Here is a 22396-nt window from a genome sequence, read left to right as displayed (position 1 = left end):
ATAATTAGGGAAACGCAAATCAAAACCACAGTGAGATACCACTTTACAACCATCAAGGATGGCTGTTATATATATTTTAAAAATGTGTTGATGAGGATCCGAACAAAGTGGAACGCTGATTGTGCACTGCTAATAGGAATGTAAAATAGTGCAACCACAATGGAAAACAGTATAGGAGTTCCTTAAAAAGTAAAAGATAATTATTACTGTATGACCCAGGAAATCCACTTCTGGGTATATACCCCAAAGAATTAAAAGCCAGGTCTCAAAGAGATATTTGTATACCTGTGTTCATAGCAACATTATTTACAGTGCCAAAGGGTGGAAGCAATACAAGTGTCCATCAAAGGGTGAATGAATAAATAAAATATGGTACATTTATTGCATATAGTTTCACATTTGTTTTAAAAAGAAAAGGATTCTGGCTGGGCACAGCGGCTCACGCCTGTTATTCTAGCACTTTGGGAGGCCGAGGAGGGAGGATCACCTGAGGTCAGGAGTTTGAGACCAGCCTGGCCAACATGGTGAAATGCCATCTCTACTAAAAATACAAAAATTAGCTGGATGTAGTGGTGTATACCTGTAATCCCAGCTACTTGGGAGGCTGAGTCAGGAGAATTGCTTGAACCCAGGAGGTAGAGGTTGCAGTGAGCCGAGATCATGCCACTGCACTCCAGCCTGGGTGACAGAGCGAGACTTCTCAAAAAAAAAAAGGCTTCTGACACATGCTACAACACGGAGGAATCTTGAGGACATTATGCCAAGTGAAGTGAGCTAATCGCAAAAAGAAAAATACTGTTATGATTCCACTTGTATAAAGTATCTAGAGTAGTCAGAATCATAGAAACAGAAAGTAAAAATTTTTAAAAATATTTCGGGGGTAGGAAGATATAGGGAATTGTTTAATGAGTATAGAGTTTCAGTTTTTGCAAGATGAAAAAGTTCTGTAGATTGTGCAACAATGTGAATATACTTAATACTGAACTGTACACTTAAAATGGTTAAGATGGTGAATTTTATATTATGCATACTTTATATGATGGTGTGTTTACATTGTGTGTATTTTGCCACAATTAAAATGTTAAAAAGAAATGGTGAAAGCAGATAGAATTGCTGTTAAAATTTAGGGAGTAAGCATTCAATCTTTCACCATTAAGTATAATGTTACCTGTAGTTTTTTAGTAGATGTTTGTATTAGTCTGTTCAGGCTGCCATAACAAAATACCACAGACTGGGTGGCTTAAGTAACAGAAATTTAATTTCTCACATTTTTGGAGACAAGAAGTCCAAAATCACGTTGCCAGAAAATTTGGTTTCTGGTAGGCCTTTCTTTCTGACTTACATATGACTGCGTTTTCTCTGTACCTTTCTTTAATCTTGTCATTTACAGCTATAAATATCCCCCTAAGCACTATTTTAGTTGCATTGTGTAAGTGTGGTATTTTGTGACTTCATTTTTATGAATCTCAAATAAATTTTCTAGTTTTTTTTTGGTGAGTTCTTTTTTGATTTACTGGTTATTTCAGATTTTGTTGTTTAATTTCCGCATTTGTGAATTTGGTAGTTTCTCTCTGCTGTTGATAAACAATAACATTTAACTCTAAAGTTTAACTCTGTTGTAGCCAGAATCATACTGTATATGATTTGAGTCCTTTTACATTTACTGATGTTTGTTTTGTGGACTACTCTATAGTCTGTTGTTGTGCACTTGAGAAGAATGTATATTCTGTTGTTGTTGTTGGGTTTTGTATTCTGTGGATGTCTGTTAGGTCAAGTTGGTTTAGTGCTGTTCAAGTCTTTTACATAGCTCGGCTGTTCATTGTTGAAAGCAGGATTTTGAAGTCTGCAAGTATTATCTGTTTTTCAGTCAGCTCTGTCAGTTCTTGCTTTATGTATTTTGTGGTTTTCATATTAGGTGCTTATATATTTATAATTATTATACCTTCATGATGGTTGACCTTATCATAGTAAAAGTCCCTCTTTAGCTCTAGTAAAATTTTCCTAAGTCTTTTTTATCTGATATTAATATAATGACTACCCCTTTTTATGGTGGTTGTTTTTGTGCTATGTATCTTTTTGCTTCTTTTACTGTAATCCTGTTTATAATTTTGAGTCTAATTGTATCTCCTGAACTTAGAATACAACTGGATTTTGTGTTATTGTACATCCTGACAACCCTTCCTGTTGATTTGTTAATCCATTTGCAGTTCATGCTATTAATGATATGGTTTGCTTGTTTGCCATTTTACTTTTTGTTTTCTATGTGTCTTGCCATTTTTGTTCCTGTGTTCTTCCTTTATTGCTTTCTTTTGCATTATTTTGTATTGTAATATTTTAATTCCTTAAATGATTTTTAAAAAAGATTTCTAATGCTATTTAAAAAATTATTTTCTTAATGGTTGAGGGTTTACTATATATATATATATTTTTCTAACAGAATCTTCTTCAGATTCATATTGATTTAATTCCTGTAAGACATAGAATGATTCCTCCTATGTACCTCTATTTCTTTACTAATTATTGTTTATACATATCTATTTATGTTACAAACCCAACAATACATTGTAGCAGTTATTAGTTTATTTAACTGTCTTTTAAAGACATAAAGGAAAGGAGAGCATTATATGTTTATACAGTTTGTTATTTTAAAGTTAGCACTCCTTATTATCTTCATTTGTTTCAGTGTAGAGTTTCCATGTGATATCATTTCCTTATGCCAACCTTTCATAGTAGAAGTCCCTCTTTATCTCTGGTAAAATTTTCTGAATTCTGTTTCGTCTGATATTAGTATAATGATGACAACTTTGTACCCACTTATCTTGTATTACTATTAAATACATTACATTTCTTTATGTTATAGGTTTAACAATACAATTATAAACATAGTTTTTATATAATTCCTTTTTAAATTATTTAAGAAAGGAAAATATATATGCAAAATATATATGCATTTATATTGTCTTATAGTTACACAGTTACTTTTGACTACTGTTTGGCAGTACATGCTTTCAACTCAAAGAACTTCCTTTAGTATTTCTTTTCAGGTGCATCCACTTGCAATGAATTCTCTGAGTTTCTGTTTATCTATGAATGTATTTTTCATCTTCATTTTTGAAGATAGTTTTGCTGAATATAATTATCTTGGTTCACATTTTTTTTCTTTGAGTTCTTTATGTCCTTCCACTGTCTCTGGCCTCCCTGGTTTCTGAGGATAAGTCAGCTGTTAATCTTTTTGTGGTTCCCATGTACCATGGAGAATATGATGAGTCATTTATTTCCTGCTGCTTTTAGTTTTTCTTTTCCTTTCTCCTTTCTTTTCTTTTCTTTTCTCTCTTCTCTTCTTCTCTTTTCTTTTTTCTCTTTTCTCTTTTCTTCCTTTCCTTTCTCCCCTCCCCACCTTCCTGCCTGTCTCCCTCCCCTCCCCTAGCATCCCCTCCCCTCCCCTCCCCTCCCCTCCTAACAAATTAAGAGATAAGAAAGCTTGTGATAATGTTTGTGTAGATGGGAGTGTCTTTTCCTCTTCTTCATGGCCATAAAACTCCTCCTAGACAGGGGAATTATGGTACGTTTACTCTTGATCTCCTTCCTGGGAGTAAACCGTTGAAGAGGGAATTTATGGCAGCCTCATTTGTCACAGTTTCTGCTTTTAATCATATAAGGGAAGTATGGAGAGGGCTTCTTCCTGCATTCATTGAATATCAGATGTCTTCAGCTTAAAATCATGATTATGTCAACTCTGAGTTTTGAATGGGTCCTCACAAAAGCATCAGATCAGAAGAGATTTAATACATAAACAGATGCAGGAATCTAGCTGTCTTCTATTAAACAATGAGATTTATAAAAATGTACAGGAGTGCCACTCTGCTCACTAATTTTTTTTTTTTTGAGAAAATAGTTAAACTTCATTGAAATGTTATTTATGTTAACTGGGTTTATTACTAATGCTAAATGAATTAAGAGATATAGTTTTTACGCTGTCAGTTTTAATGTCTAATATTGCAAATACCCATAGATAAAACCCTACATAATCCAAAGGTTTTGGGAGTCCTTAATCTTTTTCTTTTCTTTTTTTTTTTTTGAGATGGAGTTTTGCTTTTGTTGCCCAGGCTGGAGTTCAGTCGCGCGATCTCGGCTCACTGCAACCTCTGCCTTTCAGGTTCAAGCAGTTCTCCTGCCTCAGCCTCCCAAGTAGCTGGCATTACAGGCATGTGCCACCACGCCCAGCTAATTTTTGTATTTCTAGTAGAGATGGGGTTTCACCATGTTGGCCAGGCTGGTCTCGAACTCCTGACCTCAGGTGATCCTCCCACCTCGGCCTCCCAAGTGCTGGGATTACAGGTGTGAGTCACCACGCTTGGCCCTTAATCATTTTTTACAGGATAAAGGGGTCCTGAGACCAAAAAGTTTCAGACTTCTAGTAACTATCTTCTTCATAGTCCCAAAGTGAACTGCTTTACTTCGTGGTATTACGTCTATATTCCAGGCTGGATGAGGGAGGAGGAATTCCAGAGAAATGGGCAATGGCAATATCAGGAAAGCAAAATGTTTTCCCAGGAAATCTTTAGTTAATTTCTTTCAAAAGAACTTTTTATATATTTAATAGTTTTCCTTAACTGCAAAGTAGTGTGGAAAAGTGAGAACTTTTAGCTGGGTTTGTTGCTGCTCAGGACAAAGTCAGGGTTCTTTTGGTGGGGACAAAGGGAGATAGGTATTGAGTATGTAGTTAGCGGTGTTCATTGCCCACATATTTTGTCTTTTTTTTTAAGGACCAGTCCTGGTCAGAGTTTCAGGAAAACCCCACATGATGAAGTCCTATTGTTTGACTCTTTCATACAGAATCCCAAAAACTCGCTTAGGCATCTCACCTCGTTGTCTTCTTGATAATTATTGGTTTCTACTTTCCAGGGTGTATTTGGTCTATGTGAGTTTTATGCCTTGGCTCTACCCACAAGTACATTCTGTTGGGAGCCACATGTGGACTTGTGAAAAACATCATTGACAGCACTGATTAAATTGTAAAATGTGCCTTATTCTTCAGCAGAGCTTCTCTTTATCTTTGTGATCTGGTAGCTTCTCACATTAAGAAAACTTTGTTTTCTCACACCCTCAGACTCAGTCTTTCCCAATCTGTACCATTGTGTTTCCTGATTGATTGATTTGTATTAACTCAATTGTGGGCTCACAGCCATCTTTTACATAGGAATTTACTTTTAAAATGGTCATGATTTGCTTTTTAAAACATGAGTCATAAATTGGGTGCAGTAGTATGCCTGTAATCTCAGCTACTTGGGAGGTTGAGGTGGGAGGATCACTTGAGCCCAGGAATTAGAGACTGTAGTATGACATGATGGTACTCGTGAATAGCTACTGTCCTCCAGCCTGGACAACATGGCAAAACCCTGTCTTAAAAACAAACAAACAAAACTCATAGACTTTATTGATTTTTCTGGTTCAAGATTTGGAATGAAAACTTGCACCTCAAACTGTGGTCTGGGGACAGCAGCATGGGAGTCACCTGGGAGCTTTTTGGAAATGCAGAAATCTGAGTCCCCCCTAGACCTAACAAACCACAATCTACATTTTAGCAAGATCCCTAAATGATTAGGTGTCCAGAGTTGGAAAAGCACTGGCTAAAGGAGAAAACAAATGAAATCTAGAGGGCATGAGGCTGTGTTCTGAGGAGCTCTCATGTTGAATGTAGATGAAAAGAGCCCACCAGAGAGATGTGGAGATGAAAGCCAGGGTAGTGTGTGGCATCTCTTAGTACCTTCTCTGAGGAAGGAAGGAAGATGCAGCGAGGCTTCCATCTCTCCTGGGGTCACAAGGTGGTGGTATCCAGTAAGCAGTGACTGAATGTGTTAAAGAGCTGTAAATAATTTGCCAGGGTTTTTATTACTTGGGCATTGAAGCTTAGTTTGGGCTTGAACTGGAACTTTTTTCTCCTTGGTATGTCTAATTCCACTTCTTTACATTGATGCTTGGCAAACTTTACTTCTCATTCAGAACCAAGATGCCATTCTGACTACAGGGCAGAGTGGTGTCACACTTCCACCTTGATATACTTTATGTATGTGCTTCTTTTATGTCATTCTTAAGCTCTTCCCTAGTTTGGACATTTCTCACCAAAACACTTTTTCAGAGGAGTTCAGTGGTAATACACGTTGAGCGTCCCTAATCCACAAACTCGAAATCCAGCATGCTTCAAAATCTGAAACTTTGGAATGTCAGCATGACACTCAAAGTAAGTGCTCATTGTCACCTTTCAGATTTTGAATTCTCAGATTTGGGATGCTCCACCTGTAAGTATAATGCAAATATTCCAAAGTCCAAAAAACTCAGAAATATGAAACAGTTCTGGTCCCAAGCATTTCAAATAAGGGATTCTCAATATTATCATTGGCATATGGTTAGGAGTGAGATTTTGGTCCATATTCTATGCCTGACACAGTTGTTCACACATAGTAGTTGCATAGTAAATAAGTGTGGAAAGAATGACTGATTTGAATGAGTTTTGGGACTTGCTTTCTGGAAAATATCTCTGATGTTGTCCTGCACTATATATTTTAAGTCCAAATAAATGGACATCTAAAGAGCAGTGTTTAGGCTGGGCGCAGTGGCTCACGCCTGTAATCCCAGCACTTTGGGAGGCCGAGGCGGGCAGATCACGAGGTCAGGAGATCGAGACCATCCTGGCTAACACAGTGAAACCCCGTCTCTACTAAAAATACAAAAACTGAGCCGGACATGGTGGTGGGCGCCTGTAGTCCCAGCTACTTGGGAGGCTGAGGCAGGAGAGTGGCATGAACCTGGGAGGCGGAGCGTGCAGTGAGCCGAGATTGCACCAGTGCACTCCAGCCTGGGCGACAGAGCGAGACTACGTATCAAAAAAGAAAAAAAAAAAGAAGAAGAAGAAGAAGAAGAAAAAGAGCAGTGTTTATTGGGGGAAAATAAAAGATGATCTGGTCTGCTGGAACTGAACTGTTAAGATCCTACCAAGTAGTGGAGAAGCAACCCTAAATATTGACAGGTTTCAGGCTTTAAAACCCCTGTGTTTTCTAGGGCTTGTTATTTGTTTGGTTTTACCAATGTAAAATATGAATTGTTCTAACAAGAAAACAAAATAAAAGCTTGCATTATCAAATTTATTTCTTAAAGGGTAAGGAACAGCTTTAGCTCTCAATCTGGGTTTATAATGTTAAGTTAGCAGGTAGTTCTCCCTCACCCCAATATCCATTCTCTGTTGAATAATTAATGTCAAAAAGGTCTGAGGATATGATTTATTGGCTTCTCTTAGTACTTGTGAACTTCTCTGTAGATTTCCAGATGGTGTCAAACCAGCCATTCCTTGTGAGGTAGTAAGTAATGTAGCAGTGGTTATAATTGGCTTTCTGTACAGATAATCCAAGGCCTATGGTGTCTTTGTTTGAACTTAGTAGACTACACTAAAATTTAATAGTAAGTCACCAGTAGCTTGGCCTTAAAATTGGGACTCACAGCAGTGCCCTGTGTTTACCTATAAGTACATTCTTGACTAATGAATGAAACTCAGATTACTTGTTCTCTGGACAGAGGGCTTTCATTCCCAGTGAATGAATGTGTGAATAATATGATTGAATTAAATTGCTAGTTAAACTTGGTCTTTTTTTGTTGTTGTTGATACGGAGTCTTGCTCTGTTGCCCAGGCTGGAATGCAGTGCAGTGGTGTGATCTCAGCTCACTGCAACCTCTGCCTCCCAGTTTCAAGCGATTCTCCTTCCCTCAGCCTCCGGAGTAGTTGGGATTATAGGCACGTGCCACCATGCCCGGCTAATTTTTGTATTTTTAGTAGAGACGGTGTTTCACCATGTTGGTCAGGCGGGTCTCAAACTACTGACCTCAGGCAATCTGCCCGCCTCAGCCTCCCAAAGTGAAACTTGATCTTTTAGAAACATTCTTTGGTAACATTCTCCCAACACTTTGAGCATACTTTATAATTTACTAATTGACTGCCTTAAGATGAAGAAACAGGTCAGGTATGGTGACTCATGCCTGTAATTCCAGTCCTTTGAGAAGCTCAGATGGGAGAATTACTTGAGGCCAGGAGTTGAGCCTGGGCAGCATAGCAAGACCCTGTCTCTATAAAAAATACTTAGTCAGACATGGTGGCACATGTCTGTAGTCCTAGCTGCTCGGGAGGCTGAGGCGGGAGGATCACTTGAACCCAGGAGGTTGAGGCTTCAGTGAAGCATGATTGTGATTGTGCCACTGCACTCTAGCCTGGGTGACAGAGTGATCCCTGTCTCCACAAAAAGTATTTAGTCAGACATGTTGGCACATCCCTGTAGTCCCAATTCCTCAGAAGGCTGAGGCAGGAGGATCACTTGAGCCCAAGAGGTCAAGGCTGCCATGAACCATGATCATGCCACTGCACTCCCAGCCTAGGTGACAGAGCAAGGAAATACAACTAAGATCTTCTCTTCCTTAGGCAATAGTTTTTGTTACTCATTTGGGTTTAGAGCAAGAATGAGTAGATTCAGGAAAATGACTTTATTTTTAAAAATCAGATTTATGTTTAGAGTGTTCACTTTTTTTTTTTAAAGAAAGTCATAGGATGGAAGATGATCGTAGTTGTTTGAGGGTTGCCATAACAAATTGCCATACGGAAGGTGGCTTAAACAACAGAAATTTATTTTCTCATAGTCTGGAGGCTGGAAGTCCAAGATGAAGGTGGCAGCAGGGCTGGTTTCTCCTTGGCTTGTAGATGGCCATCTTCTCCCTCTGTGTTCACATTGTCTTTTATCTGTGTGTGTCTGTGTCACAAACTCCTCTTATTACAAGGACACCAATCCTATTGGATTAGAGTCCACTAGGATTAGAGTCACCTCCTGAGTAGCCGGGACTACTATTGACCTCATGTAAACTTAATTACATCTTTAAAGTCCCTATTCCAAATAGTTATATTCTGAGGAAGAAGGAGTTTAGGACATCAACATCTAAATTTTCACAGAAGGGAGGGGAATACACAGTTTAGCCCATGATAGTTGTGTATCAGGGAGGTCAACCTAAAGGCAAAAAGGCCAGGTGGGATGTTATTCTTCAAGAATTCTAGCTGAGAAATGAAGAGAATCTAAACTAAAGCATTGTCAATAAAAATGAAAATGAGTTGTGATTGAGAGGAGGAAGAATTTGATACAAGACTATGTGACTGAATGTGGAGGGGCATGAGAGGAAGGAGGCTGGCATGGCTCCCAGATTTCCCTGCTCCAGGAGGAGAAACTGAGTTGAAGGAGATGTGAGCTGTGTGATATCCCGATTGAGTATTCAGCACTTTGTTAGCCAGACACCCCAGGACTGGTCAGCTGTCCTACTTTCTTCACTCTTTCGCCGTGACTCCTCATAATGTGGACTGTGTCACATACAACTGAGCATGCAGCCTCTCCACTTGAAATGTGTCTTAAGACACTTATCACCATCTGAACTTTCACGTGAAATGTGACTTAAGACACTTATTACCATCTTATTTTGACAGTGAATTCTAAACTCTTATTTTTTCCTGATAATAAAAAATTAAATCTCTTAAATAAAATGTTAAATCCTTTAGGACAGGGACTATTGTGTATTCATTTTGCCCAAATGTGCAATATTTACTGCCTGGCTACATACATCTAGTATATAGTAGGTTGTGCTTTGCAAATTCTAGTTCAGGGAATGATTTGTCAGTAGGGTTGTTGTGATCAATTACTTGTTCTTTGCATATTTTAATCAAAGATTGATAATTAAAACCTGTTTGATTTTCTTGCAGAATGAGAAGACTTTGGGACATTTCATGAGTCATTCAAGCAACATTTCTAAGGTAGAGTGCCACTGAAAAATGTTATTTATTACCTTGAGTCTTTTCTGTTCTTATGCCTTACATGTGTTTATACTCTTTTTTTTTTTTTTGAAAAGACGTTAGAGTTCTTGATACATTTCTGTAATCTGTTCTGGGACCATAAGAGGTATGTGGCAGTTACATTTTTCTGGTAAGGCAATTTTGAGTGTGTGTTGGGGGAAGTGACTTCTGGGAGAAAATTCCATTTTTTCCAGAAAACCATATACTTTAAGGCAGAAGAAATCTCAGGCACAGGAGAGTCTGTTGCCACAATTAGGAATATATTTGACTGAAAGTAACAGAAAGCTAACTATGATGACTTACATAATTATGGATTTATATGGTTCATTTGACAAGGTGTCTGGAAGCAGGTGATCCAGGGCAGAGTTGATCACAGATTGTAGTGCACCCGATTCTGTGGCTGTTCGGGGTGCCACTGTGTAACCCGCATGGACCTAGGGGAACTGAACAAGGGGTGAAGGCGGGAATAAAAGACAAGAGACAAAAGAGTATATTTGGAAGAAGGAGGCATCTTGGCTCTAGTGGACAAGGGCCCTGAGCTTTACACAGCCCTCCATATTTATTAGGCAAAAGAGATAGTGAGAAGGCGGGTGGAAGAAGGGGTCAGCTGCTCAGTCTAGAGTAGGCTTGCAAGACTGCATTCCTTGAACAAAAGGTTCTAGATGTTGCAGTAGAGAACCTTGGCGCCAGGGAGTGATTGCCTCCAGCAAACCTTCTGTTGGCAGGAGCAGTCGGCCGGAGCAGTCGTGAGTTTGCTCATATCCTGCATTCATGATGAACGGTTTGCTGTTTGATCATATAGTCTCCAGGGGAATGCTGAGTTGGTCACGTCCCATGGGTCTTCGGCTCCCTGTAACAGATGTTGCCAGGGACCCAGGCTCTTTCCTCTCTGTGCTATCTCCTACTTGACACATGGTCTCACGATGAGAGCTGGACCTTCAGGCATTGCGGTTGTGGCCTTGGCAGGAATTAGAGGACTGATCAAGGATTAACAGGTCTGTTAGCTGAGAGTCACCATTTTCAGCAGGAAGGCAAAAGTTGTCCCACAAGTCCCACCTGGCCGCCTGAAATCTGCTTACATCTCCCTGGCCAGAACTGGATCACAGGCCACCTCTAGCTGGAAGGCAGCTAGGGAAAGGAGGGCTTGGGAAGTGAATCAGCCATCCAACAGCATCTCCTCACCTGTGGTGTGGTCTTTTTAGCGCACCAGGAGCACACTGGCTGCTAGGGTATGGCCTGGGAACCAGCAGAGTGTATCTGATGCAGTGAGCTTGCTTCCAGGCAGTGCTCCTCTCTCAGCCCACACATTGACTCTGGCCAACCCCTTCGCCATACAGTTAAGGCCATGAAAGTTCTTTGTAAGGGTGGACCTTTTCCCCATGTTTTTGGCATATGGCCAAACACACCACAGATTCAGCTGGGAGGATTTGAACAAGTGACAAAGTCTATCTGCTGTCTCAGGCCTCCTAGATACTCTGAAATGAACAGTTACATTATATGCCATTTTAATGTGCTGACTACATATATGTTTTCATTCAGGTCACCTTATTTTTTTAAGACTAAAAGTAAACTCTGGCAAACCTTCTTAAGACATTTGTCTGTTCTTAGGCATATTTGTAATCTAATTATATTATTCTTCCGCTTAATTTTGCGTTAAAAATAGGAATGCCTTTCACAAAATATTTTTTCCCATCCAACCTCCATTTCTTTTCTTTTGCTGTCCCTTTGGCCAGGAATGCTGCAGTGCTAGAACTATGCAGTGGTAAACCATTGCTGCCCATTTTTGCACCTTTTAAAGGAGCTAATCAGTGTCTAAGCACGGAGAAAAGTGAGAAGGTGCAGCTGCAGATGGCCTGTTTGCTTAAGTTGAATTAAATGTGTTAAAAAACGCTCAGTAACACATGTATGTCGCCTTGCCCTAGTAGCCAAGGGCAGTTCTGAAGGAGGACATCCTATGCTTTAAATATGTACCTGTTCATTCATGGATTTCAGTCACATTTTATTTAAAGGAAACTTCTTCCTATAGTTAAAAAAAACTGTTTGCAAACCACCATCTTAAAAAGTCTAGAGGAAAGGCTATTGTCCTGGCTTGGGTTGTGGGTATTTTGAGCTTTGTAAGGGTTTTGGAATTAACATGGATGATGGTTTACTAGCCATGTGATTTTGAAAAAGGACATCTCTCTGAGCTTTAATTTAGTTATCAGTAAAAGTAGGGTAAGCCAGGCGTGGTGGCTCACACCTGTAATCGCAGCAATTTGGGAGGCTGAAGCGGGCGGATCACCTGAGGTCAGGAGTTTGAGACCAGCCTGGCCAACATGATGAAACCCCATCTTTACTAAAATTCCAAAAAAATAGCCAGGCGTGGTGGTGCACACCTGCAGTCCCAGCTGCTTGGGAGGCTGAGGCAGGAGAATCGCTTGAACCTGGGAGGCGGAGGTTGCAGTGAGCTAAGATCACACCATTGCACTCCAGCTTAGGCAACAAGAGCAAAACTCCGTCTCAAAAAAAAAAAAAAAAAAAAAAGTAGGGTAATAATACAACCTTCAGGGTTGTTCCGAGTCTTGGGATTAACATTTGCATGGAACCATGGGGCAGCTCACCCATTACACTGAGCCAACAAACCTGACTCTTGTCAAAGTTCGTTGAATCCTGGTGACCTTAGGTTGATTGGGCCAGGACAGTTCATTTAATGGTAGCTTTATTATTTATTGCTGAACAATGGAGAACCATACATTATTTTTTCCTTCTTGCATACATTTTTTTTTAGACAGAGTCTCGCTCCGTAGCCCAGGCTGGAGTGCCGTGGTGCAATCTTGGCTCACTGCAACCTCCGCCTCCTGGATTTAAGCAATTCTCCTGCCTCAGCCTCCTGAGTAGCTGGGATTACAGGTGCGTGCCACCACGCCCAGCTAATTTTTGTATTTTTAGTAGAGACAGGGTTTCACTATGTTGATCAGGCTGGCCTCAAACTCCTGACCTCCTGATCCACCCGCCTTGGCCTCCCAAAGTGCTAGGATTACAGGCGTGAGCCACCGTGCCCGGCCCCTTCTTGAATACATTTTTACTGTGTGCTGTTTGCGACTGGACACTTAGTGTGTCCAGTGAGTTCCGGGATGCTTACTATGGTCATTGGAGAGTATCTGAGTGGAGTGAGCCTTTAGAACATTTGATTACTCACAGAACTTCCTGGTTAACCTGTCAACGTGAAATTCTGTTGCAAAGTGTACCCTTTTGTAACGAAGATAGTTAGCATGCTGTATAAGGTGGTTAGACATGAACCAGTTCAGTGGGACCAAGGAAGGGAGGGCAGGCCCCCTGTGGAAGATAACTGTTTTTGAGAAGACAGTTTTTTTATTGGAGTATTTATTAAATGAACCTGCTGTTTGAAGCCAGTTTTAGGCCGTGACATGTAAAATCGTATCTTCAGTATAGCAGACATACTCTTGAGATTAAAGGAGGCCACAATGTGGACATACTGTATGCTACCTGAAATCCCCGTTGTCTCTGTCAGGAGACTTTCTGCTGACTTTTAGACCCCAGCTGGGGTCAGCACATGAGCCAGTCACTGCAGTCTGCTTTATGCTTCTGCAGTTCACCTCTTGCTGGCGTAAATTTAGAGGTTGAAAAGAGGTAAAAAATAAACCTTTAATCATGCCTCCTAGTATTCCATCTAGATTTTATTACAAAGTGTCTCAGTGTGTATTGGAAGCATATTGACTTTAAAAACCAGGCTCCATTTTCAAAGAAGGAAGCAGGTAGGTTGGATGAGATGTTTATGAGGCTGCTAGGTCTGTGGTGGCTTGCCTCTCTTCAAAGTGGGCAGCTGGATTTGATCCCCTTAAGGAGTTAATAGAAGAAGCATATTGGGATATTTAAGCAATTACAATGGCAAAGTCTTCACCCAATACTTATTTTGTATTGATAGTACAATGTTAATGGATATCATTTGTTGAGCCTCTGTTACCAAGGGATTTCATGAAATTTGTCACCTCCAATTAACATCCTAAGGGGTCCAAAGTCACCTTTTCCTTTTATTTTTCAGGATCGCACTTATCACTGCCTGGGTTTTCATGAATTTTTTTCCATTGCACCTTCACCCCACATGTAACCTTCATGAGTGTAGAGCCATGCTTTGTTTACCCCTAAATCTGCAGAACCAGTGATGGGATGGAGCCCTGGAGGTTGTCAGTACATGCTGAGTCAATGTTTGCATGCTGTTCTGCTAGACACTTGATACCCAGCCCATTGGTTCATCCCTCTTCATCATCCCAGCCACTTCCCAGGCCCAGGCCTCCTAAACTCCTGCAGTAGCTTCTCAAGAATCTATCCCAAACCATCTAGCACCCAGTAGCCAGTAAGTAGAATTCCTAATGCTTCTCTTTTCAATTCTTCAGTGTTTCTGATTACACTACCTTGAGCTGTCACATCTAAGGTGACCTGGGCCTGGCCACTTGGAACCTGATCCTGTGCAATATCCCCTTGGTCATGATGATCTAGGTATGGTGTCTACCTTGATGATTTTCAAACAAGCCAAATTCCTATTTGCGCACCTTTTGTTCTGTCCGAGAGGCCTCTCCCAATCTTACCCCTTTTTTGCATGAATGGCTAAAATTCCTAACTCATTTCTCTTTCAGTTCTTAGCTTCTTTAGAGGCACTTACCCTTGACACCCTCCCCTTAGTCTAAATTTTATCACCCATTTGGGTTTTGTTACTCTTTCTTCATAGCACCTATCACAGTTTGTAATGATAGCAGTGTGTAGAAAATCTTATATTTTTAGAAGCAGCAGAATGTCCCCCCTTGGAAAAAAATCTGTTTAATTGACTGGGTGCTTGGAGAAGTTTGAGGCAGTTTGAGTCCCACAGGTGACATGCTTTATACAAAGACGGGCACTGGAATGCAGCCCCCATGAAATCGCCATGCATCTTGCCCAGACCTTCACCTCACCGCAGGGTCCTTGACCATGTGGGCCCACGAGCCATCCTGGAGGATGTTCCCCAGATGCCCCATCCACACTCAGTCCTCACCCTATGTACTTCCCTTGCTGCTGTTTGCTTAATCATTTTCTAAAGAACAAACTCAAAGTTTTATATCATTGTGTAGTATCTGAAATCACATTTGATTGGTTTTCTTTTTTTAGTTTATTTGTACATATTTATGGGGTACCTCTGATATTTTGTTACATGCATAGACTATGTAATGATCAAGTCAGGGTATTTGGGGTGTCCCTCACTGTGAATATTTATCATGTCTATGTGTCAGAAACAATTTAAACCTCTCTTCTAGTTATTTTGAAGTATATAATATATTGTTAACTGTAGTCACCCTACTCTGTTGTTATTGAACATTAGAACTTATTGTGACTATCTAACTGTATTTTTGTACCCATTAACCAATCTCTCTTTATCCCCCACTCCTGCCTCCATGCACACCCTTCCCAGCCTCTAGTACCTATAATTCTACTTTCTACCTCCATGAGATCAAATTTTTATAGCTCCCACATGTGAGTGAGAACATGTAATATTTGTCTTTCTGTGTCTGGCTAATGACCTCCATCCATGTTGCTGCAGATGACATGATTTCATTCTTTTTGTATGGCTGAATAGTATTTCATTGTGTATATGTGTCACGAATTCTTTACCTGTTTGTCCATTGATGTGGACACTTAGGCTGATTCCATATCTTTTGCGAACAGTGCTACAATAAACATGGGAGTACAGATATCTCTTTGATAATACTAATTTGTTTTCCTCTGGGGAAATACTCTGTAGTGAGATTGCTGGATTATATAGTAGTTCTATTTTTAGTTTTTTGAGGAATTCCCATACTATTTTTCATACTGGTTGTACTAATTTGCATTCCCACCAACAATACATAAGAGTTCCCTTTTCTCTGCATCCTCACCAACATCTGTTATTCCCTGATGATTAGGGATGCTGAGCAGTTTTTCATGCAGCTGTCGGTCATTTACATGTCTTTTTTTGAGAAATGTCTAGTCATGTCCTTTGCCCACTTTTTAATGGGATTGTTTGTGTTTTTAATGTTGTTTGAGTTTCTTACATATTCTGTATGTTAGTTCCTTGTTCGATGGGTAGTTTTCACATGTTTTCTGTCATTCAACAGGTTGTGTCTTCACTCTGTTGATTGTTTCCTATGCTGTGCAGAAGCTTTTCAGTTTAATATAGTCCCTTTTGTCGGTTTTTGGTTTTGTTGCCTATGCTTTGGGGTCTTAGCCATAAAATCATTGCCTAGATCAATGTCTTGAAGTGTAATCCCTGTGTTTTCTTCTAATAGTTATATAGTTTCAGGTCTTATGTTTGAGTGTTTAGTCCATCTTGAGTTGATTTTTGTATGCGATGAGAGAGAGGGCTTCAGTTTCATTCATCTGCGTATGGATCTCTCATTTTCCCAGCACCATTTATTGAGAGGGTATCCTTTCCCTAACGCATGTTTTTGGTACCTTTGTTGAAAATCAGTTCGCAGTAAGTACGTGGATTTATTTCTGTGTTGTTGATTTTGTTCTATTGTTCTGTGTATCTGGGTTTGTTTTGTTGTTGTTGTTTGTTTGTTTTTTGAGATAGAGTCTTGCTCTGTCGCCCAGGCTGGAGTGCAGTGGCACTATCTAGGCTCACTGCAACCTCTGCCTCCTGGGTTCAAGCAATTCTCCCTGCCTCAGCCCCCTGATTAGCTGAGATTACAGGTGCATACCACCAAACCTGGCTAATTTTTGTATTTTTAGTAGTGATGGGGTTTCACCAAGTTGGCCAGGCTGGTCTTGAACTCCTGATGTCAGATGATCCACCTGCCTTGGCCTCCCAAAGTGCTGGGATTACAGGTGTGAGCCACCACTCCTGGCCTGTATCTGTTTTTATAACAACACCATGCTTATTTTGGTTTCTGTAGCCTTGTGTAATATCCTTTGAAGTCAGGCAGTGTGATCCCTGCAGCTTTGTTTGTTTTTCTTAGGATTGTTTTGGCTATTTGTGCTCTTTTTTGGTTCCATATGGTTTTAGGATTGTTTTTTCTGTTTCTGTGTAAAATGACATTGACATTTTGATAGCAATTGCATTGAATCTGTAGATTGCTTTGGGTAGTATGGTCATTTTAATGACACTAATTCTTTTGATCCGTGGACGTGGGATATCTTTCAATTTGTTCGTGTCCTCTTCAGCTTCTTTTATCAGTGTTTTGTAGTTTTCCTTGCAACGCCTTTCACCTCTTTGATTAAATTTATTTCTAGGTATTTTATTTTGTATAGCTATTGTAAATGGGATTGCCTTTTTGATTTCTTTCTCCGCTAGTTCATTATTGGTGTATAGAAACACTATCAACTTTTGTATGTTTATTTTTGTATCCTATAACTTTTCCAAATTTATCAGATCTAAGTTTTCTAATGGAGCCTTTAGGTTTTTCTAGGTATAAAATCATATCATCTGCAAAAAGGGACAAATTAACTTACTTTTTCCAATTTGAATGCCTTTTATTTCTTTCTCTTGCCTGATTGCTCTAACTAGGACTTCCAGTACTGTGTTGAACAGGAGTGGTGAAAGTGGGTGTATTAGTCTGTTTTCATGCTGCTGATAAACACATACCTGAGACTGGGTAATTTTTAAAGAAAAAGAGGTTTAATGAACTCACAGTTCCATGTGGCTGGGGAGGCCTCACAATGATGGCAGAAGGCGAAAGGCATGTCTTACATGGCAGCAGACAAGGGAGAAATGAGAACCAAGCGAAAGAGGTTTCCCCTTATAAAACCATCAGATCTCATGAGACTTATTCACTACCACAAGAACAGTATGGGGGAAACCACCCCTATGATTCAGTTATCCCCCACTGGGTCCCTCCCACGACACATGGGAATTATGGGAGCTACAATTCAAAATGAGATTTGGTGGGGACACAGCCAAACCATATCATTCCGCCCTCGGCCCCTCCCAAATCTCATGTCCTCACATTTCAAAACCACCCATGCCTTCCCAACAGTCCCCCAAAGTCTTAACGCATTTCAGCATTAACTCAAAAGTCCACAGTCCAAAGTCTCATCTCAGACAAGGCAACTCCCTTCCACCTGTGAGCCTGTAAAATCAAAATCAAGTTAGTTAGTTTCTAGATACAATGGGGGCACAGGCACTGGATAAATACACTCATTCCAAATGGGAGAAACTGGCCAAAATGAAGGGGCTAAAGGCCCCATGTAAGTCCACAATCCAATGGGTCAGTCCATTCTTAAAGCTCCAAAGTGATCTCCTTTGACTCCATGTCTCACATCCAGGTCATGCTAATGCAAGAGGTGGGCTCCCACGGCCTTTGGCAGCTCTGCCCCTGTAGCTTTGCAGGGTATAGCCCACCTCCTGGCTGCTTTCACGAGCTGTCATTGAGTGTCTGTAGCTTTTCCAGGTGCATGGTGCAAGCTGTTAGTAGATACACCATTCTGGAGTTGGGAGGATGGTGGCCCTCTTCTCACAGCTCCACTAGGCAGTGCCCCAGTGGGGACTCTGTGTGGGGGCTTGCAACCCACATTTCCCTTTCACACTGCCCTAGCAGAGGTTCTCCATGAGGGCTCCATCCTTGCAGCATACCAGTGCCTGAACATCCAGGCATTTCTATACATTCTCTGAAATCTAGGCAGAGGTTCCCAAATCTCAATTCTTGACATTTGTGTACCCGCAGGCTCAACACCACATGGAAGCTGCCAAGGCTTGGGGCTTGCACCCTCTGAAGCCATGACCTGAACTATACCCTGGCTGCTTGTATCCTTTGGTTAGAGTGGCTGGGATGCAGGGCATGGAGTCTCTAGGCTGCACACAGCAAGGGGGCCCTGGGCACCAGCCCTTGAAACCATTTTTTTTTCCTCCTAGTCCTCTGGGCCTGTGATGGGAGGGGCTGCCAGCAAAGATCTCTGACATGCCCTTGAGACATTTTCCCCCATTGAGTTGGTGATTAACATTTGGCTCTTCGTTACTTAGGCAAATTTCCACACCCAGCTTGAATTTCTCCTCAGAAAATGGGTTTTTCTTTTCAATGGCATCAGGAGGCCACAAATTTTCTGCTTTTATTTTCTGTTTCTCTGAGAATGCTTTTAAAACTTTTTAAAACTGAATGTTTTTAACAGCATCCAAGTCACTTCCTGAATGCTTTGGTGCTTAGAAATTTTTTCCTCCAGATACCATAAATCATCTCCCTCAAGTTCAAAGTTCCACACATCAGGGGCAAAATGCTGCCAGTCTCTTTGCTAAAACATAGCAAGAGTCACCTTTACTCCAGTTTGCAACAAGTTTCTCATCTCCATCTGAGACCACCTCAGCCTGGATTTCATTGTCCATATCATGATCAGTATTTTGGTCAAAGCCATTCAACAAATGTCTAGGAAGTTCCAAACTTGCCCACATTTTCCTGTCTTCTTCTGAGCCCTCCAGACCATTCCAGCCTCTGCCTGTTACCCAGATCCAAAGTCACTTCCACATTTTCAGGTATCTTTATAGCAGCACCCCACTTACTGGTACCAATTTACTGTATTGGTCTGTTTTCACACTGCTGATAAAGACATACCCAAGACTGGATAATTTTTAAAGTAAAAGAGGTTTAATGGACTCACAGTTCCACATGGCTGGGGAGGCCTCACAATCATGGGGGAAGATGAAAGGCATATCTTACTTACATGGCGGCAGACAAGGGAGAAATGAGAACCAAGTGAAAGGGGCTTCCCTTACAAAATGAGATTTCATGAGACTTATTCACTACCACAAGAACAGTATGGGGGAAACTGCACCTATGATTCAGTTATCTCCCACTGAGTCCCTCCCACAACCTGTGGGAATTATGGGAGCCACAATTGAAGATGAGATTTGGGTGGGGACACAGCCAAATCATATCAGCGGGCATTCTTATCTTGTTCCAGTTCTTAGAGGGAAGGCTTTCTTTCACTTTTCCCCCATTCAGATTTATGTTAGCTGTGGGTTTGTCATATATAGCCTTTATTAATATTGCAGTATTTCTTTCTTTGCCTAGTTTGTTGAGAATTTTTATCATGAAGGAATGTTGAATTTTACCAAATGCCTTTTCTGCTTCTATTGAGATGATCATATGGTTTTATCCTTCATTCTGTTTACATGATGTGTCACATTTATTGATTTGCATGTGATGAAAGACCCTTGCATCCTAGGGATAAATTCCCTTAATCGTGTACTGTCTTTTTGATGTGCAATTGGATTTGCTTTATTCGTATTTTGTTAAGGATTTTTTGCATCTATGCCTATCAGGGATATTGGCCTGTAGTTTTATTTTTTGTTGTGTCCTTGTCTGGTTTTGGTGTCAGCATAATGCTGGTCTAGTAGAATGAGTTAAGGAGAATTCTCTCTTCTTCAGTTTTTTGGAATAGAGAAGAATTGTTCTTCTTTGAAAGTTTGGTAGAATTTGGCAGTGAAGTCATCCAATCCTGGACCTTTCGTTGTTAGGAGACTTTTTATTACTCTTTAAATCTCATTACTTCTTATTGATCTGTCCAAGTTTTCTGTCTCTTTCTGATCAATCATGGTAGGTTATGTGTCTATCCATTTCCTCTAGGTTTTCCAGTTTGATAGCATGTAGTTCGTAATAGTCTCTGATGATCTTTTGTATTTCTGTGTTATTTGTAATGTCTCCTTTTTCATTTCAGATTTTATTTAGGTCTTCTATCTTTTTTTCTTGGTTAGTCTAGCTAGTCTATCAATTTTAGTTTTTCAAAAAATTAATTTTTTGTTTCATTGATCTTTTTTTTTTTTAGCTCCTATTTAGTTTAGTTCTCCTCTAATGTTTATTATTTCTTTTCTTTTACTAATTTTGGATTTGGTTTTTACTTGGATTTCTAGATCCTTGAGGTGCATCCTTCGATTGTTTGTTTGAAATCTTTCTACTCTTTTGATGTAGGTGTTTATTGCTCTGGACTTCCCTGTTAGCACTACTTTTGCTCTATCCCACAGGTTTTGGTATGTTGTATTTCGATTTTTATTTAAGGCATTTTTATGTTTTCTCCTTAATTTCTTCCTTCACCCAGTGGTCATTGAGGAGCATGTTGTTTAATTTCCATGTAATTGTACAGTTTCTAGTTGATTTCTAGTTTTAAACATTGTGGTCTGAGAAAGATACTTGACATGATTTCAATTTTTAAAAACTTTGTTGAGACTTGTTTTGTGTCCTAACCTGTGGCCTATCCTGAAGAATGGTCTGTGTGCTGAGAAATGTGTATTCTGTAGTTGTTGGATGAAACGTTCTGTAACTGTCTGTTTAGTCCATTGTCCTAACGTGCAGTTTAAATGTAATGTTTGTTCATTTTCTGCCTAGATGATCTGTCTAACGATGGGAGTGGGGTGTTGAAGTCCTCAGCTATTATTATACTGAAGTCTGTCTCTCCCTTTAGATTTAATAATATTTGCTTTATACATCTGAGTGCTCTGGTGTAGGGTGCAGATGTATGTAGAAGTGTTATAGCCTCTTGATGAATTAATCCCTTTGTTATTATATAATGACTCTCTTTGTCTTTTACTGTTTTTGACTTAAAGTCTGTTTTATCTGATATAGGTATAGCTAGTCCTGCTTGCTTTTGGTTTTTATTTGCATGGAATATCTTTTTTCATCCCTGTACTTTAAGTCTATATGTGTCTGTACAGGTGCGATGAGCTTCTTGTACACAGCATATAGTTGAGTAATGTTTTTTTAAATCCATTCAGCCAGTCTCTGTCTTTCCAGTGGAAAGTTTAATTCATTTACATTCAGGGTTGCTATTGATATGTGAGGGCTTATTCCTGTCACTTTATTAAATAATTTCTGGTTTTGTATATCCTTTGTTTCCTTCTTTCTTATTGTTTATAATTGTGGTTTGGTGGGTTTCTGTAGTGGTAACGTTTGAGTCCTTTTTTTTGCTTATTTGTGTGCTTGCTCTACCAGTAGGTTTTATACTTTGGTATGTTTTCATGATGGCAAATACTGTCCTTGTGCTTCCATGTGTAGGATTCCCTTAAGCATTTCTTATAGGACCAATCTGGTGGTGAATTCCCTCAGCTTTTGCTTGTCTGGGAAGGACTTTATTTCTTCTCATTTATGAGTGATAACTTGGATGGATATAGTATCTTTGGCTGGCCTTTTTTTTTTCTTTTAGCACTTTGAATATATCATCCCATTCTCTCCTGGTCTATAAGGCTTCTGCTGACAAGTCTGCTGTTGGTTCGATGGGGGTCCACTTATAAATGACTAGATGCTTTTTTCTTGCTATTTTTAGGCTTCAACTTTTGACTGTTTGACTATATAATGTGCTGTGGAGGAGACCTTGAATTATATTTGGATATCTCTGAGCTTCTTATATCTAGATGTCTAAATCTTTTGCAAGACTTGGGAAGTTTGCAGCTATTATTTTGTTAGATATTCCATCTTTTTTGTTTTCTGTTTGTCTTCTGAGACACTGAAAATTTGAATATTTGGTCATTTCATGGTGTCCCATATGTCATGTATGCTTTGTTCTTTCTTTTCTATTCCTTTTTTAAATTTTTTTGTC

General features: G+C 39.9%; 1 protein-coding gene and 1 long non-coding RNA gene across 17 annotated transcripts in view; one reads left to right on the top strand and one right to left on the bottom strand.

Annotated features, from left to right (window-relative positions):
• MARCHF8 (membrane associated ring-CH-type finger 8) overlaps nucleotides 1–22396 on the top strand; it is a 140323-nt gene that overhangs the window by 95709 nt on the left and 22218 nt on the right. For all 15 annotated transcript variants that reach the window (XR_007061947.1, NM_145021.6, NM_001401646.1 and 12 more), the window contains one exon: nucleotides 9782–9832. Coding sequence is in view for 14 of the 15 variants with exons in the window: in NM_145021.6 (NP_659458.2) it covers nucleotides 9782–9832 (51 nt within the window). In the remaining variant the exon portion in view is untranslated. The remainder of the gene's footprint in view (nucleotides 1–9781; nucleotides 9833–22396) is intronic.
• LOC105378286 (uncharacterized) overlaps nucleotides 1–22396 on the bottom strand; it is a 47291-nt gene that overhangs the window by 12367 nt on the left and 12528 nt on the right. The window lies entirely within an intron of this gene.

The sequence above is a fragment of the Homo sapiens genome, chromosome 10 (assembly GCF_000001405.40).
Source record: "Homo sapiens chromosome 10, GRCh38.p14 Primary Assembly".
Classification (NCBI taxonomy): Eukaryota; Metazoa; Chordata; class Mammalia; order Primates; family Hominidae; genus Homo; species Homo sapiens.
Note: the sequence above shows the minus strand (reverse complement) of the source record. Positions and strands in the feature narration are given on the sequence as shown.